Source organism: Homo sapiens, chromosome 9 (assembly GCF_000001405.40).
Source record: "Homo sapiens chromosome 9, GRCh38.p14 Primary Assembly".
NCBI lineage: Eukaryota > Metazoa > Chordata > Mammalia > Primates > Hominidae > Homo > Homo sapiens.
The window spans coordinates 100,972,203-100,990,109 of NC_000009.12; the positions used below are offsets into that span (position 1 = coordinate 100,972,203).

Consider the following 17,907-nt stretch of genomic DNA (forward strand, 5'->3'; position numbering starts at 1 on the left):
AGCTACGTGACTGGCATTCCAATTTATAATTTTCCCAAGAATTCCTTTAATGTCCAAAGCATCTGATAAAATATATGTGGGATCACAAGCTTCCATTTGCTCCAGTACATTTTCAATTATAGATAGTGAAGTGCTTAGACCTTCTGAGCTCCCAGAACATATATAATCTCCCATAACTACTGCAAATTTCCATCTGCTTCTATCATCACTCAAACTGGGGGGTCTCAGGTGGATCAATGTGTGAGATAGTCCATGTGGGATTTTAAACTGTGTTTGTTAGAATTACAGATTGATGCCTGTCATCATTGCCCCTTGAACACATTCACAAAGAATAAAAGATCTAGTAGCCTGGTTTATTTTCTCTTCCACCCCGACACAACTACTGGAGAGGAAACATCACTGTGAGGTAGAAATGTTACAAACTCAGTGAACAGATCTGGATTTGAGTACAACTTTATTATTTATCTGGCTTTGGACAAGCTGTTTCTGAGTCTCAGTAAAATGGGATTGATATTAGAAGTTATTATAGTCCAGAACCAGGACTATTCTGAGGATTGACAAGGTAATAAAGGAGCTAATACATTTTGAAATAGAGTGAAGTGTTACATGCTCTGACTGGTGTCGAAGTTTACATAGCAAAGATCTATAGGCCCAGATTTTAAAGGACAAGATGAGGGCTACCATTTCTCCCTCCCCCACCAACTTCCCACTCCCATCAATCCTTGTCACTTTCCCCTGTCAGCAATTCCCTGGCTCATGCTTTAAGATTGGTCTCTCTTGAAGCAGAAAATACTTTAATGTGCCTAGACTGAGGCAAGGGATGGTCTCACCCTCAGTACTGCTCTGCTTCAACCATGTTAATTTTAGAATGGAGGAGTTCAATAGGCAATTAAATATAGAAACAAGGAGATAAGTCAGATTAAAAATTAACTGTGAGGACTTGAACCAAGGAAATACTCCCAAATAGAGAATAAGCCTTTTTGCAGTAATATGCTTATTACAGTATTCTTTACAAAAGGACAACAACAATCCCAGCACTTTGGGAGGCCGAGGCAGGCAGATCACGAGGTCAGGAGACCGAGACCATCCTGGCTAACACAGTGAAACCCCGTCTCTACTAAAAATGCAAAAAAAAATTAGCCGGGCGTGGTGGCGGGCACCTGTAGTCCCAGCTACTCGGGAGGCTGAGGCAGGAGAATGGCCTGAACCCGGGAGGCGGAGCTTGCAGTGAGCCCAGATCGCGCCACTGCACTCCAGCCTGGGCGACAGAGCGAGACTCCATCTCAAAAAAAAAAAAAAAAAAAAAAAAAAAAAAAAAAAAAAGAAAATAGTGCATCACACAAAGGAATTTTTTTTCAGAATAAAATTTTGTCCCCTGATTATGTGGGAAGTTGCAGGCCTGCAGCACCTGGGCAGATAGCAAAATGTTAATAAGGTGATTTTTAATGAGGTGCTTGGGAAAGGAAGGGCATACTCTTGCCATGCACAAATTTCTACTTCACACTTTAAGAAGGGTACAATTAAACAACAGCAATAATAATAGTTTACTTTTATTGAGGGTTTTCTCGGTGCCAGGCCTTGTGCTTAGAACTTTACATGCAATGGTGGTTAAGTGTAGGCTTTCTTCAGCTAGAAATATGCCTTCCTAAGGGATGAATTAGTAAATGTTTCTCTTCAGAGGTGGACTAAGGTATATTAATTATGGAAAATAGCACTACATAGTGAATATATGTATATATATATTTGACATAATATATTTATATGTAATTGGGGACTAGGAGGCATATACATTTCTCAGGAAAGTGCTAAGGAATAGCAAACAGCTTCTCCAGGAACATTTGACTACTCTTCTTAGCCAGTTATGCTCTGAGGAGTGAATAAAAGATGCTGGAAAGAAAGTATAAATTATACAGATTCAATCCATTTGTAGCAATAAACATAATGGCTCTGGCAATATTATGTGCAAATTCCATGAAAATGTAAATTATTATGAATTAGAAATGAACTAGAAATCGATGAAGAATTAGGCTAAGAAGCTTCCTTTTTGTTTTTGTGGGTTATTTTCCTTTTGAGATAAGGATAGTGTTTCCCCAAAGTATCATGGCTTACCTCTATTCCTTGTTTGTATTTGCAGCATATAGCGTTAATAAATACCCACTTGTACATGGGGACTATATAAGCAAGATATGACTCCTTCTCACACCAGTGTTAATGGCTTCTCACTTTTCTATCATTCTAGATTTAACAGTGAAGAATCTCCTCAAATTTCAACAAGTGACTTTATCCTCATAGTTTCCTTGCGTTTTCCAGAGTATGATTCCTTTACACAAACTACAGCCTTTTATATTCTCTATGGACCTGTTGCTGCATTCTTTCCTTGGGTGAATATCTTCTTAATCATCCTCCGGGTTTGGTCTAAGCAGGGAGACCAAATTAGACCCCAGGAGTGTGAAACTGGCATATTCACAATTCTTGTTTCTTACTGTGATTCCTTTAAGTCATCCCTTTAGAGTCTGGATGTAAGTAAATCTATAATCCTAGGTAAACCATACTAGTGAGAGAAGAGCTACTTGTCAAGAAATGGGGGCATACTCATTTTAATTATAATGTATAATTATTTTCTTAATTATTTTTATAATAACTTCAATGACACTGTATTTATATTAATAGCTCTGTAGATTTTTAAAAATAATTTCAACTTTTATTTTAGATTTGAGAGGTACATGTACAGATTTGCTACATGGACATATTGCATGATGCTGAGGTTTGGGGTACACATGATCCTGTCACCCAGGTAGTGAGCACAGTACCCAATAGAGAGTTTTTCAGCCATTGCCCCTCTTTCCTCCCGCTATCCTCTAGAAATCCTCAGTGTGTATTGTTCCCATCTTTATGTCTATGTGCCAATGTTTAGCTCCCACTTACAAGTGAGAACAAATGGCATTTGGTTTTCTGTTTCTCTGTTAATTTGTTTAAGATAATGGCCTCCAGCTGCATTGATGTTGCTGCAAAAGACATTATTTTGTTCTTTTTATGGCTGTGTAGTATTCTATGGTATATGTGTACCACGTTATCCTTTTCCAGTCCACTGTTGATGGGTACCCAGGTAAATTTCATGTCTTTGCTATTGTGAATAGTGCTGTGATGAACATACGAGTACATGTATCTTTTTGATAGAACAATTTATTTTCCTTTCCGTATATACCCAGTAATGGGATTGCTAGGTTAAATGGTAGTGCTGTTTTAAGTTCTTTGGGAAATCTCTAAACTTTGAGAATCACCAATTTCCACATGGCTGAACCGATTTATATTCCCACCAACAGTGTATAAGTTTTCGCTTCTCTCCACAGCCTTGCTGGCATATGTTATTTTTTGATTGTTAATAGCAGCCATTCTGGCTCTCTGCTTCTCCCATTCAACAGACAGCTACATCTTGTGTAGTGCCAGCCACATCCCTGAGATGCTATGGAGAAAGTGAAGGGTGGAGTAAATGAGTTTGGCTGTATTAGACACCAGGTCTCTAGGGCTGCTTTTAACTCTGGCAAAGTAGATTTTGTCATGATCAATGACTACTTCATTGACCTCAACCACATGGTATTTACATGTTCTAATATGATTCCACCCATGACGAGTTCCACAGCACCATCAAGGCTGAGAATGCGAAGCTTGTCATCAATGGAAATCCCATTACCATCTTCCAGTAGTGAGATCCCACCAAAATCAAACTGGGTGATGCCAATAGTGATTATGTTGTAGAGTCTACCCATTATCTTCACTACCATGGAGAAGGCTGGAGCTCACTTAGAGGGGAGAATCAAAACAGTCATCATCTCTGGCCCTTCTGCTGATGCCCCCATATTTGTGATGGGCATGAACCATAAGAAATACAAAAACAGCCTCAAGATTGTCAGCAATGCCTCCTACACTACCAACTGCTTAGCCTCCCTGGCCAAGGTCATCCATGACAACTTTGGCATTATGGAGGGACTCATGACCACAGTCCATGGCCTTCACTGCCACACTGCCACACCCAGAAGACTATGGATGGACCCTCTGGGAAACTGGCGTGATGGCCTTGGGGGTCTCCAGAACATCATCCCTGCATCTAGTGGCCCTGCCAAGGCTGTGCAAAGTCATCCCTGAGCAGAATGGGAATCTCACTGGCATGGCCTTCCATGTCCCTATCACCAATGTGTCAGTCATGGATCTGACTTGCTGTCTGGAGAAAGCTTTCAAATATGATTACATCAAGAAGGTGAAGCAGGCATCAGAGGGCCCCCTCAAGAGCATCCTGGGCTACACTTAGCACCAGGTTGTCTTCTTCAACTTTAACAATGACACCCACTCTTCCATCTTCCATGCTGGGGCCAGCATCGCCTTTGAAAACCACTATACCAAGCTCATTTCCTGGTATGACCATGATTTTGGCTATAGCAACAGGGTGGTGAAACTCATGGCCTACATGACCTCCAAGGAATAAGAACCTCCAGGCCACCAGCCCCAGAAAGATCTCCAGAGGAAGAGAGAGGCCCTCAGTCCCGCACCACACTGAGACTCTCCCTTGCCACAGTTTCCATGTCATACCTTCTAAAGAGAGAGGGGCCCAGGGAATCATACTGTGTTGTGTACCATCAATAAAGTCCCCTGTTCTGAAAAAAAGTAGCCATTTTGACTTATGTGAGATTGGTTTTGATTTGCATTTCTCTGATTAGTGATATTGAGCATTTTTTCCTATGTTGACCACTTATATGTCTTCTTTTGAGAAGTGCCTTTTCATGTCCTTTGCCCACTTTTTAATGGGATTATTTGTTTTTTGCTTGTTGAATTGTTTGAGTTCCTCATAGACTCTGAAAATTGGACTTTTATTGGGTGTATAGTTTGTGAATATTTTCTCCCTTTCTGTAGGTTGTGTGTTTACTCTTTTTTTTATATATATAGTTTCTTTTGCCGTGCAGAAGCTCTTTAGTTTAATTAGGTCCTACTTGTCAATTTTTGTTTTTGTTGCAATCATTTTTGAGGACTCAGTCATAAATTCTTCTTCTAGGCCAATGTCCAGAACGGTATTTCCTAGGTTTTCTTGTAAGATTTTTATAGTTTTACATCTCACATGTAAATCTTAAATACATCTTGAGTTAATTTTTATATATGGTAAAAGGTGGGGATCCATTTTCTTCTGCATATGGCTAGCGAGTTAACCCAGCACCATTTATTGAATAGTAAGTCCTTTCCCCAATGCTTATTTTTGTCAACTTTGTCAAGGATCAGATGGGTATAAGTGAACAACTTTATTTCTGGGTTCTCTGTTCTCTTCCATTGGTCTATGTATCTGTTTCTGTACCAGTATCATGCTGTTTTGGTTACTGAAGCCTTATAGTATAGTTTGAAGTTGGGTAATGTGATGGCTGTGGATTTCTTCCTTTTGCTTAGGATTGCTTTGGCTATTCAGGCTCTTTTTTGAGTCTATATGAAATTGAGAATAGTTTTGTTCCCTAATTCTGTGAAGAATGATGTTGGTAGTTTGATAAGAATTGCATTGATTCTGTAGATTGCTTTGAGCAGTATTGCCACTTTAATGATCTTGAGTCTTCTGATTGATGAACATGGAGTGTTTTTCCATTTATTTGTGTCATCAATAATTCCTTTCAGCAGTGTTTTGTAGTTCTCCTTGTTGAGATCTTCCACCTCCTTGGTTAGATGTCGTCCTAGGTATTTTATTTTTTTGTGGCTATTGTAAATGAGTTGTGTTCTTGATTTGCCTCTTAGCTTGAACTTCATTGGTGTATAGAAATGTTACTGAGTTTTGTACATTGATTTTGTATCCTGAAACGTTACTGAAGTATTTATCAGTTCTAGGAAACTTTTGGTGGTATAATTCCATAGATTTTACAAAATAATGTGTATGTATATGATCTCATTTAATCTTTGCAACCACATGAATTAGGTATTGTTATATTCGATTTGCCAGTAAGAAAATTTATGTTCAGAAAGGTGGATAATTTATTTGTGATCATAGAACCAGTAAGAAGCAGAACTAGAAGTAGAACCTGGGTTTTATGCCTCCAAATCATGTGCTTTTCCCAAAGATCACTCTGGCTGTTTGCAAAAGGCTTTAAAGTAGATCTATGGATTTTGTATAGGACATTTCAAATAGGGTAATAAAATAATAAATCAGTAATTTCAGTACATATTGACAAAGTGAACAAAAGTGAGTTTGATTAATAGTGTGTGAGGTTAGTTATTTTTCTTATAGGTCCCTAAGGGAACATCTATTAATAGGCTTTGGAAACAGAAAATAACTAGCCTACAGATTTAAGACAACATGCAAAGATTTAACCTTACAGACTGAGTGTTTATTAGAAACTTATGGTTGGCTTCTTTGAATGCAACTGATGGGTGTACTACAGAGCTAACAAACAGGAGTTATCTTTGACCTCCACTCCACCACATGTTTGTATTTATTGAACATTTACTATACACCAGACCCTGTGTTAGCTGTTGGGAATATGTCCATGAGCAGGACTGGTCTCTCTGCTTCTGACCTTCTCATTTCCTCATCCAGCACATTCTCTACAGAGATGAAGAGTGATCTTTCTAAAGTGCAAATCTGACCATGTCCAGTCAATGTCACCAGGCTGTAGGTTTTCACAGACAAGAGATCACAGCTGTCTGAGTTACCATTATATCATCATGATCAATCAAATCCAAACCTTGTAGGAAACACAAGGCCCTTCACAACTTGGCTCCTGCTTTCCTCTTCCAGCTCCAACTCCCTTTCCCCCACCTTATACTCTCTGCTCCAGCCATGTTGACCTCCTGTATACAGACTTAGGGGTGTACAAAGTTCTTTTTCTTCACAGGCCTGAGAAGTGCTACTCTCTTTTCTCTGAGGCCTCAGGCCACTATCTTTCTTTTCCCATTCATCTCCTGGTAAGTTGTATTTATTCTTCTCCCTCATTTCAGACTTCACTTCCAGTAGAAAATTTCTTAGAACTGTCCCACAGAACTATCAATGCTTTCTTGTTTTATTTTGCATTTACCCTACACAGCTATACTACCTGTTTACTTATCAGTATATCTCCTGAAACAGTAATTAGCACACATCAGGCACTCAGATATTTTTAAAGTGGTCTCCCTTAGTCCATTTTTTTTCACTATATAGACTACCTGAGACTGGGTAATGTATGAAGAATGTATTGGCTCACAGTTCTGGAAGTGGGAAGTCTAAGGTCAAGGCAGCTGCAGGTTTGGTGATTGTGATTCCCAGATGGTGCCTTGCATATGAAGTCTTCCAGAGGAGAGGAAGGTTGGATACTCACGTCGCAAGGGGCAGAAGAGGCAAGAGAGAAGAAGGCTGAACTCAACTGTCTATAGAGGCATACATCCCACCCATGTAGGCAATGAAATGACAATTAAATTTCAATGTGAGTTTTGGAGGAGACACTCAAATAATAGCTGGGTCATTGAAGAAATGAATAAATAAAACAGTACTGGATAATTTGTCAGGGATTTTGTTTTATTTCCTCTGTATCCCAGAATCTATTATAATACATAGGTCATAGTGAATCTATACTGAATGTTTTTAAATTAATGAATTAATTCATGAATGAGTCAGGCAAAGCTTGTACACACATGTACACACATGCACACACATGCACACTCACAGATACGCCAGGATGAGCAGGTTGCCTCTGCGGGCTCAGGTGGCCAGCTTTTATTCCCTTATCTGGCCCCGCCCACGTCCTGCTGATTGGTCCATTTTACAGAGCACTGATTGGTCCATTTTACAGAGTGCTGATTGGTTCGTTTTTACAGGGTGCTGATTGGTGCGTTTACAAACCTTTAGCTAGACACAGAGGGCTGATTGGTCCATTTTTGCAGAGTGCTGATTGGCGTGTTTACAAACCTTTTGCTAGACGCACAGCATTGATTGGTCCATTTTTACAGAGTGCTGATTGGTGCATTTACAAACCTTTAGCTAGACACAGAATGCTGATTGGTGTGTTTTTACAGAGTGCTGATTGGTGCATTTACAAACCTTTAGCTAGACACAGAGCACTGATTGGTGTGTTTACAATCCTCTAGCTAGACAGAAAAGTTCTCCAAGGCCCCACCCGAACCAGAAGCCCCGCTTGCTTCACCTCTCACCAGGATAATATGTTATATTAGGACCATTCAATCCAAGCCACTCTCATGTGGTTAATTGACATTGTCTCTTGAGTGTCCACTGAGAAATCATTCTGCAAGGTGCTAGGTGCTAAGGGACTCATAACCACTGAGTGCTCTCATCAAGGAGAGTGACTACTGCAGTAATATATTTGAAACAAATCTATGGTTTTCCTGGTGAATATCCTTAGTGGCCTCTTTTTTTGTTTTGCCCCCAGGATGAAATACAACCTATTTAACATGGTTTCCAGTGCCAAACCTTGCAATCTCCTCCTAATATGCCTTTCTGGGCTCAGCTGCTTCTGTTTCCCAACCACCATGCCTCTGACCCTCTGCCAATCCCAGACCCTCTGCAAATTCTGCAAGTTTACTCTGTTCCATCAGGCATCTAATTTTCAGCTGGTGCTCCCGCTTTCTGAAATATGTCTTCTCAGTTTTCCACTTAGGGAACTCTTTCTTATTCTTTAAACCCACATTCAAAATGTCATTCCTTTTGTGATACAGCTCAGAGTGATCCAATAAGTTTGTCACTGCATTTTCCTTGCACTAATGGTAATTCGTACAGACCTGTAGGATAAAACCTTTCAAACAGAATGGTCATTATTGATATGTATTTGTTGGTGAATGCAGTGTGCATCTTGATGTTAAGGAATATACCCTATTTATCTTTGAGATATACAACCCTCAGCATACTGATAGGCACTCAGTAAATATTTATGCAATAATAAATGTACAAAAACTGATTTCTTAGTTTATAATATAACACCATATATTATATTATAACTGAATTCATCATATCCCAATAGATGGGTCTCACTGTCTTATTTTTGCAGTTTAGGTTTGAAACATTACATTATAAAATTCTAATAAATTTTCTCAGCAGTTTATATCATAACAATAATTGTGAATGTTTGAGTCACATGCCTTAGACATCTGCTATTTTACAGTGTGCACAGTTTGTGTTATGTAGTATATAAGCTGTTAAATTATATGCCAGTACATTTGACAATAAATTAATAATGTAGTTTCTAAAGTAAGCATTCCTCAAATCAGGATTTCAGGTTCCATCCATGTTCTTTGATAAGTTGTAAGATCTTCAGTAGAGGACTATATTATTTCTGTAGTGTTAGCTGGAAGTAATTAATAAATATAGTATTTTATGTCACAATGCTCATCTTTGTACTGGTATTTCCATTACCTACATGCTTCTTTCCTTGATCAGAATCCTATCCTAATGATGACTAATGGTATCCCACAGAGGCAGAAAATGAAGGTATTGAAAGAGCAGGAATACACTTCTAGCTATAAAATTCTTACTGAAAGAGTTGCGTGCTTGAAATAGAACACAAATATAATTGAATGCTTAAAACTGAACACAAACATAATTAATGCTAGAGTGGATTTGGTTTCCAATAAAAGTATAAATGATTTAGTTTAAAATGTTTGAGATAAAAATATTAATTCTAGGTTGTGAATGTAAGAATGCATTTGGTAGCAAGGATTGAATAGATAAAAGCATAGTTCAAATAAGGTTTAAATGCTTTACATGTGAATTCCAAAAACAAGTTGTTTAGCATTTTGGTAGTGTTTAATATTTATATTATAAATCAAATTAATCAAGAGATTTATCACATTTTAAAATAAAATATATTAGATTAATATGGTTTAAAATTAACTAGAGTTTAATAGCAAAATGTAGTAACAATTGCAGTTATGAGAACGACTTAGAATCTGAAAAGGAATACATTTACTGCAACATGTACCTATATGAACATGACTTTGTGAACCACCTGGACCTTGAACATCTGCAAAGATGAAGATGCTGGTGACATTCAATAGCGATTTGATGAATTAATAAATATATATTATAAATTCTCTTACGTTTGTCTTTTTATGTCAGTGATATAGTTTGGCTGTGTCCCCACCCAAATCTCAAATTGAATTCTCAGGTGTTGTGGGAGGGACCTGGTGGGAGGTAATTGAATCATGGGGGTGGATCTTTCCCATGCTGTTCTCATGATAGGGAATAAGCCTCACAAAATCTGATGGTACTATAAGGGGGAGTTTCCCTGCACAAGCTCTTTCTTTTGCCTGCTGCCATCCATGTAACTAAGATGTGACTTGCTCCTCCTTGCCTTCTGCCGTGATTGTGAGGCCTCCCCAGCCACATGAAACTGTTAAGTCCAATAAACTTCTTTCTTTTGTAAATTGCCCAGTCTCGGGTATGTCTTTAGTAGCAGTGTGAAAACGGACTCATGCAATCAGCATGTTTGAAATGGCTGAAGTAGCTCCTTTCTTCAAAAGAACTCCAAACAAACCTAATTAAGAGGTGTTCTCTTTTTTTCACTTATATATTTTTTTCTAAATCATTGTTGAATTACATATATTGAGAGTGAACACAGGATTATCTGGGCCATTTTTATTTTAGGAATTCAAAGCACACATGCTTCTGCCTACCTAGAATGAGGAAAGAGTTGATAAAAGAGGTGACACATTGTGAACAGAATATTTTTATTATGCACACCTGGGATAGGTTGCTTTGGGCAAGAAGCTACTTGCCTGAACTGCACTAACATTTTCTCATGTATCCAGCAGCCTGCACTCTAATTTATAGTAAAAAGTCACCTGTTTATTATAAATATGATTGAGACTTCAAATGTAACAAATTTGACTCATTACATTTGAACAATTGCTTTATATCTCACAGTGTAGTGAAAAGTAATTGTTTTATCAGATGTTATTCTGTATTATAGTACAGCTGGGAATATATTCTTCAGGTGTCTTATGGCTAGTTCCTATGATTTTTATACAAAATTTGCAGTGTAAAAAAGGATAATTCTCTAGATAAACAATCATGTCGTCTGCAAACAGGGACAATTTGACTTCCTCTTTTCCTAATTGAATACCCTTTATTTCCTTCTCCTGCCTGATTGCCCTGGCCAGAACTTCCAACACTATGTTGAATAGGAGCGGTGAGAGAGGGCATCCCTGTCTTGTGCCAGTTTTCAAAGGGAATGCTTCCAGTTTTTGCCCATTCAGTATGATATTGGCTGTGGGTTTGTCATAGATAGCTCTTATTATTTTGAAATACGTCCCATCAATACCTAATTTATTGAGAGTTTTTAGCATGAAGGGTTGTTGAATTTTGTCAAAGGCTTTTTCTGCATCTATTGAGATAATCATGTGGTTTTTGTCTTTGGCTCTGTTTATATGCTGGATTACATTTATTGATTTGCGTATATTGAACCAGCCTTGCATCCCAGGGATGAAGCCCACTTGATCATGGTGGATAAGCTTTTTGATGTGCTGCTGGATTCGGTTTGCCAGTATTTTATTGAGGATTTTTGCATCAATGTTCATCAAGGATATTGGTCTAAAATTCTCTTTTTTGGTTGTGTCTCTGCCCGGCTTTGGTATCAGAATGATGCTGGCCTCATAAAATGAATTAGGGAGGATTCCCTCTTTTTCTATTGATTGGAATAGTTTCAGAAGGAATGGTACCAGTTCCTCCTTGTACCTCTGGTAGAATTCGTCTGTGAATCCATCTGGTCCTGGACTCTTTTTGGTTGGTAAACTATTGATTATTGCCACAATTTCAGAGCCTGTTATTGGTCTATTCAGAGATTCAACTTCTTCCTGGTTTAGTCTTGGGAGAGTGTATGTGTCAAGGAATGTATCCATTTCTTCTAGATTTTCTAGTTTATTTGCGTAGAGGTGTTTGTAGTATTCTCTGATGGTAGTTTGTATTTCTGTGGGATCGGTGGTGATATCCCCTTTATCATTTTTTATTGTGTCTATTTGATTCTTCTCTCTTTTTTTCTTTATTAGTCTTGCTAGCGGTCTATCAATTTTGTTGATCCTTTCAAAAAACCAGCTCCTGGATTCATTGATTTTTTGAAGGGTTTTTTGTGTCTCTATTTCCTTCAGTTCTGCTCTGATTTTAGTTATTTCTTGCCTTCTGCTAGCTTTTGAATGTGTTTGCTCTTGCTTTTCTAGTTCTTTTAATTGTGATGTTAGGGTGTCAATTTTGGATCTTTCCTGCTTTCTCTTGTGGGCATTTAGTGCTATAAATTTCCCTCTACACACTGCTTTGAATGCGTCCCAGAGATTCTGGTATGTGGTGTCTTTGTTCTCGTTGGTTTCAAAGAACATCTTTATTTCTGCCTTCATTTCGTTATGTACCCAGTAGTCATTCAGGAGCAGGTTGTTCAGTTTCCATGTAGTTGAGCGGCTTTGAGTGAGATTCTTAATCCTGAGTTCTAGTTTGATTGCACTGTGGTCTGAGAGATAGTTTGTTATAATTTCTGTTCTTTTACATTTGCTGAGGAGAGCTTTACTTCCAACTATGTGGTCAATTTTGGAATAGTTGTGGTGTGGTGCTGAAAAAAATGTATATTCTGTTGATTTGGGGTGGAGAGTTCTGTAGATGTCTATTAGGTCTGCTTGGTGCAGAGCTGAGTTCAATTCCTGGGTATCCTTGTTGACTTTCTGTCTCGTTGATCTGTCTAATATTGACAGTGGGGTGTTAAAGTCTCCCATTATTAATGTGTGGGAGTCTAAGTCTCTTTGTAGGTCACTCAGGACTTGCTTTATGAATCTGGGTGCTCCTGTATTGGGTGCATAAATATTTAGGATAGTTAGCTCCTCTTGTTGAATTGATCCCTTTACCATTATGTAATGGCCTTCTTTGTCTCTTTTGATCTTTGTTGGTTTAAAGTCTGTTTTATCAGAGACTAGGAGCCCAAAATCTCCTTAAGCTGATAAGCAACTTCAGCAAAGTCTCAGGATACAAAATCAATGTACAAAAATCACAAGCATTCTTATACACCAACAACAGACAAACAGAGAGCCAAATCATGGGTGAACTCCCATTCACAATTGCTTCAAAGAGAATAAAATACCTAGGAATCCAACTTACAAGGGATGTGAAGGACCTCTTCAAGGAGAACTACAAACCACTGCTCAAGGAAATAAAAGAGGATACAAACAAATGGAAGAACATTCCATGCTCATGGGTAGGAAGAATCAATATCGTGAAAATGGCCATACTGCCCAAGGTAATTTACAGATTCAATGCCATCCCCATCAAGCTACCAATGACTTTCTTCACAGAATTGGAAAAAACTACTTTAAAGTTCATATGGAACCAAAAAAGAGCCCGCATTGCCAAGTCAATCCTAAGCCAAAAGAACAAAGCTGGAGGCATCACACTACCTGACTTCAAACTTTACTACAAGGCTACAGTAACCAAAACAGCATGGTACTGGTACCAAAACAGAGATATAGATCAATGGAACAGAACAGAGCCCTCAGAAATAATGCCGCATATCTACAACTATCTGATCTTTGACAAACCTGAGAAAAACAAGCAATGGGGAAAGGATTCCCTATTTAATAAATGGTGCTGGGAAAACTGGCTAGCCATATGTAGAAAGCTGAAACTGGATCCCTTCCTTACACCTTATACAAAAATCAATTCAAGATGGATTAAAGATTTAAACGTTAAACCTAAAACCATAAAAACCCTAGAAGAAAACCTAGGCATTACCATTCAGGACATAGGCGTGGGCAAGGACTTCATGTCCAAAACACCAAAAGCAATGGCAACAAAAGACAAAATTGACAAATGGGATCTAATTAAACTAAAGAGCTTCTGCACAGCAAAAGAAACTACCATCAGAGTGAACAGGCAACCTACAACATGGGAGAAAATTTTCGCAACCTACTCATCTGACAAAGGGCTAATATCCAGAATCTACAATGAACTCAAACAAATTTACAAGAAAAAAACAAACAACCCCATCAAAAAGTGGGCGAAGGACATGAACAGACACTTCTCAAAAGAAGACATTTATGCAGCCAAAAAACACATGAAGAAATGCTCATCATCACTGGCCATCAGAGAAATGCAAATCAAAACCACTATGAGATATCATCTCACACCAGTTAGAATGGCAATCATTAAAAAGTCAGGAAACAACAGGTGCTGGAGAGGATGTGGAGAAATAGGAACACTTTTACACTGTTGGTGGGACTGTAAACTAGTTCAACCATTGTGGAAGTCAGTTTGGCGATTCCTCAGGGATCTAGAACTAGAAATACCATTTGACCCAGCCATCCCATTACTGGGTATATACCCAAATGAGTATAAATCATGCTGCTATAAAGACACATGCACACGTATGTTTATTGCGGCACTATTCACAATAGCAAAGACTTGGAACCAACCCAAATGTCCAACAATGATAGACTGGATTAAGAAAATGTGGCACATATACACCATGGAATACTATGCAGCCATAAAAAATGATGAGTTCATATCCTTTGTAGGGACATGGATGAAATTGGAAACCATCATTCTCAGTAAACTATCGCAAGAACAAAAAACCAAACACCGCATATTCTCACTCATAGGTGGGAATTGAACAATGAGATCACATGGACACAGGAAGGGGACTATCACACTCTGGGGACTGTGGTGGGGTCGGGGGATGGGGGAGGGATAGCATTGGGAGATATACCTAATGCTAGATGACACATTAGTGGGTGCAGCACACCAGCATGGCACATGTATACATATGTAACTAACCTGCACAATGTGCACATGTACCCTAAAACTTAGAGTATAAAAAAAAAAAAAAAAAAAGGATAATTCTCAATTCTCTGAAATTTTTTATGTGATTAGATGCTTATTCCCATAAATTCTTCTGAGGTCAGAAGAAGAGCAGCACAATCATTCTCAGATCTGAAACCATATATTACAGAAACATGCTGCTTAATGTGATATGTTGGGTAAGTGAGGATCATATTAATAACGCATCAGATCAATAATATCTGTGTTTACTATGTGAAGATATTATTATAAGCAGCTTACATATGCTGACTCATTTAGTCCTCAGGATAACTTTATGATGAAGACATTATTACAATCCTTTTCTCTCTGTTTAAAAAAATGAGCAAACTGAGGCATAGAGAAGCAAATATTCCAGGATCACACAACCATCCAGATCAGTGCTCAGGATTATAAACCAAGGCAGCCTAGCACCCAAATCTAGGGATGTAAGCTGCCTGGTGACTTGTACCCCCAAGACTTAGCAGCAATCACTGGAGTTAGGTGGTGGGTATCTGTATTGTTACCAGCTCTGTAGTTTATTCTGAAGTACATTTTTTGAGTCATATAACATAGGGTTTGAATTCTGACTGTGTGAGTATGTACTGACTATGTGAAGTTGGACAAGTTATTTAATCTTGCTGAGCCTCAATTTCTTCAGTAAAATGGGGAGACATTTACCACTTAGAGTTGTGGGTGAATTAGGTGAGCTGTCATATGTGAAGCACTTGTACAGAGTACATGTTTAAGAAAGAGAAGGTATTGCTATTATTATTATGGAGGGTTGACAAAATCTTTCTATGCTCAAATAACTCTCTTCGAAAAGTATTTTTGTGGGGGTGTGAAGGTACTCATTACACTATAATTTTTAAAGTTTGGCCCACTTTGGAACAGTGCCTTCTCATTAATTCAAGAAGAGATAAATTTATGGTCTACTTTTCATTATGACTTCCATTAGCACGTTGACCTGATTTCAGAGAAACTCTTAAAACAGTATCTCACGGCAATATATTGCTTAACATGATACATTGGGTAATAGAGGAAATGGCTCCTTGCCAGTGACTGTCCTGGCTCTCTCCTTATCTCCTTATGAGTGGGAAGTAGTCTGTGGGCAAGTCCCTGAGCAGAAGAGATGAAAATCAGAAGATCGCCTCAGTTTGGGTCTCCTGCCTTTAGAGAAAACTCAAGAGAGCACTGGCTGATGTAAGGAGATAATATACTGGAATATGCCAGTTAGCTCATATCCCATTTATCACCTTTCCCCATTTCAACCAGAGACACTCAATACTTTGACAATGGTTGGATGATTATAAAAGAAAAACTGTTTAACTTTTGTCTTCCAAAATGGACTCTTGTAGCCCAATTCAGAGAAAGCGTTGTGAAAGACAAAGCTTTTGATGCAAGCTTTGAGAGCAAGACCCAGGAGAGGAAAACAGCATTTCAGAAGTCCACCAGTAAAGCCCTAAAGGAACAGTGAAACCCTACATAATAAAAATTGAAAACAAGATAGGTGACCAGTCAGAAGACTCTGACCTGGGGGTAAAAGGTGGGTGGGAATTGGGAAGCCCAGCCTTAGAGAGTAAAGAGAGAGGAGGGAGACTAGGGAGGAGGCCAGTGGGCTCCATGAGTGGCAAGTCCTCATGTAGGAGACAATGCCTAGTCTCTTAGGGTGGGCACATTTCATGGCCAGAATCATGAAGCTGTGGACATGAGCCTCACCTGCAGACTGTCCATAACAGTGTGTGATGGTTCCTGCCAAGGCGCTGTTAACGCCTTCATCATGTCTGTGAGGGCTCTCTAGAGAGAGACCCATTGACCCTCCAACAGCAGTGATGCTGCCCGGGCCTCGACACTTCACTTGGCCCATCTAAACTAATTTGTGTGGAAAATCCTCCACTTCAACAATGCAGGACACTCGTAATCTCCTGAACAAAAACAGTGGGATCCTGAATTTACTACTGGGACTATTGTACAATATAAGGTACCCAGCATCTTGACCCACGCAGCTGAAGAGAAACAGCTTGATTTTTTTTTCCCAGTTGGGAAAATAGCCAAACATACTGTCAGTTTTGGACTATGCAAATTATAAGCATCATGCTCTGTGAAGAGTAAACATTATGCACTTTGTAAGAATGATGTATGTCCTGCTTTTCACAGTTGGTCACCTTATTAGTTTAGGAGGCAATAGAGTGGTAGTAAAACTGCTGAATAGCAGAGACTATGTTTAATGAGAGGCAGCAGACACTTGGAGGAAAAGAGAGGGTAACAAAAATATGAGTTATTTGATTTTTCATTGCAGAAATCATTTCAAGGAAAACACTGCTGGCAAGGGGATTATTGTTCTTATTTAACTTATAGGAGATCATTTTAAAAGTTTACAGAACTTTTAAACATGGATCTTTCAACCTCAAATTACTCACATTTGTATATTTCCATTTGTTCCTTTTTATACCTTCACAAAGAAGGAAAGCAGATATTTGTAAATTTTACTTTACAAAGGCAGAAGTAGAGTTTCTACTGTGGGGAAACTGACAAACAAAAGAACTAAGTGACCTTGGAAAAATCTCTTGTCATGAATTTCTTTTGACACAAAAAAGACGGCGTTTACCATCATTTGGTAAATGTATGTATGAAGAAAAGGTAGTTTGTTCTGAAATGAATGTTCTAAAAGTTCTATGGGAATATTTTCATATCTGAATTTGTTCAAGAAGTCAAATATACACTTCCATGCAGCTGAGGGAATTTAGAATGCAAGCAACAGCTTTGATTTTACAATGAGGTTATTAGTTACTCATTTTTCTTAAAGAGGACTTCAGTTGAAATTTGAAGGGCTCTTTTGCCCAAGTCAAAGCTGTTATGGTAAATGATTCTTACCTAATGCTTCCCAGCAATAGTCACTACTTGAGTCCATTATGTCTTAGGTTATTTTATTATCACCTTCCTTGGCATAGTCATGTAGGATTTACATAACTTTGTGTGTGTCTGATTGCAGGTGCCGGGATGCCAAAAAGGAAATGAAAGCCAGGATCCATCTGGAGACCTCTACACATTCTCTGTTGCAAAAGGCTGATGAATGAAGGTAGGAGGACACTCATGGGGACAAACATCTTTGATTTGCAAATAGACTTATTCCT

The 17,907-nt window shown here is 38.5% G+C and overlaps 1 pseudogene; it reads left to right on the forward strand.

Annotated features, from left to right (window-relative positions):
* GAPDHP26 (glyceraldehyde 3 phosphate dehydrogenase pseudogene 26) lies at nt 3,398–4,535 on the forward strand (annotated as a pseudogene).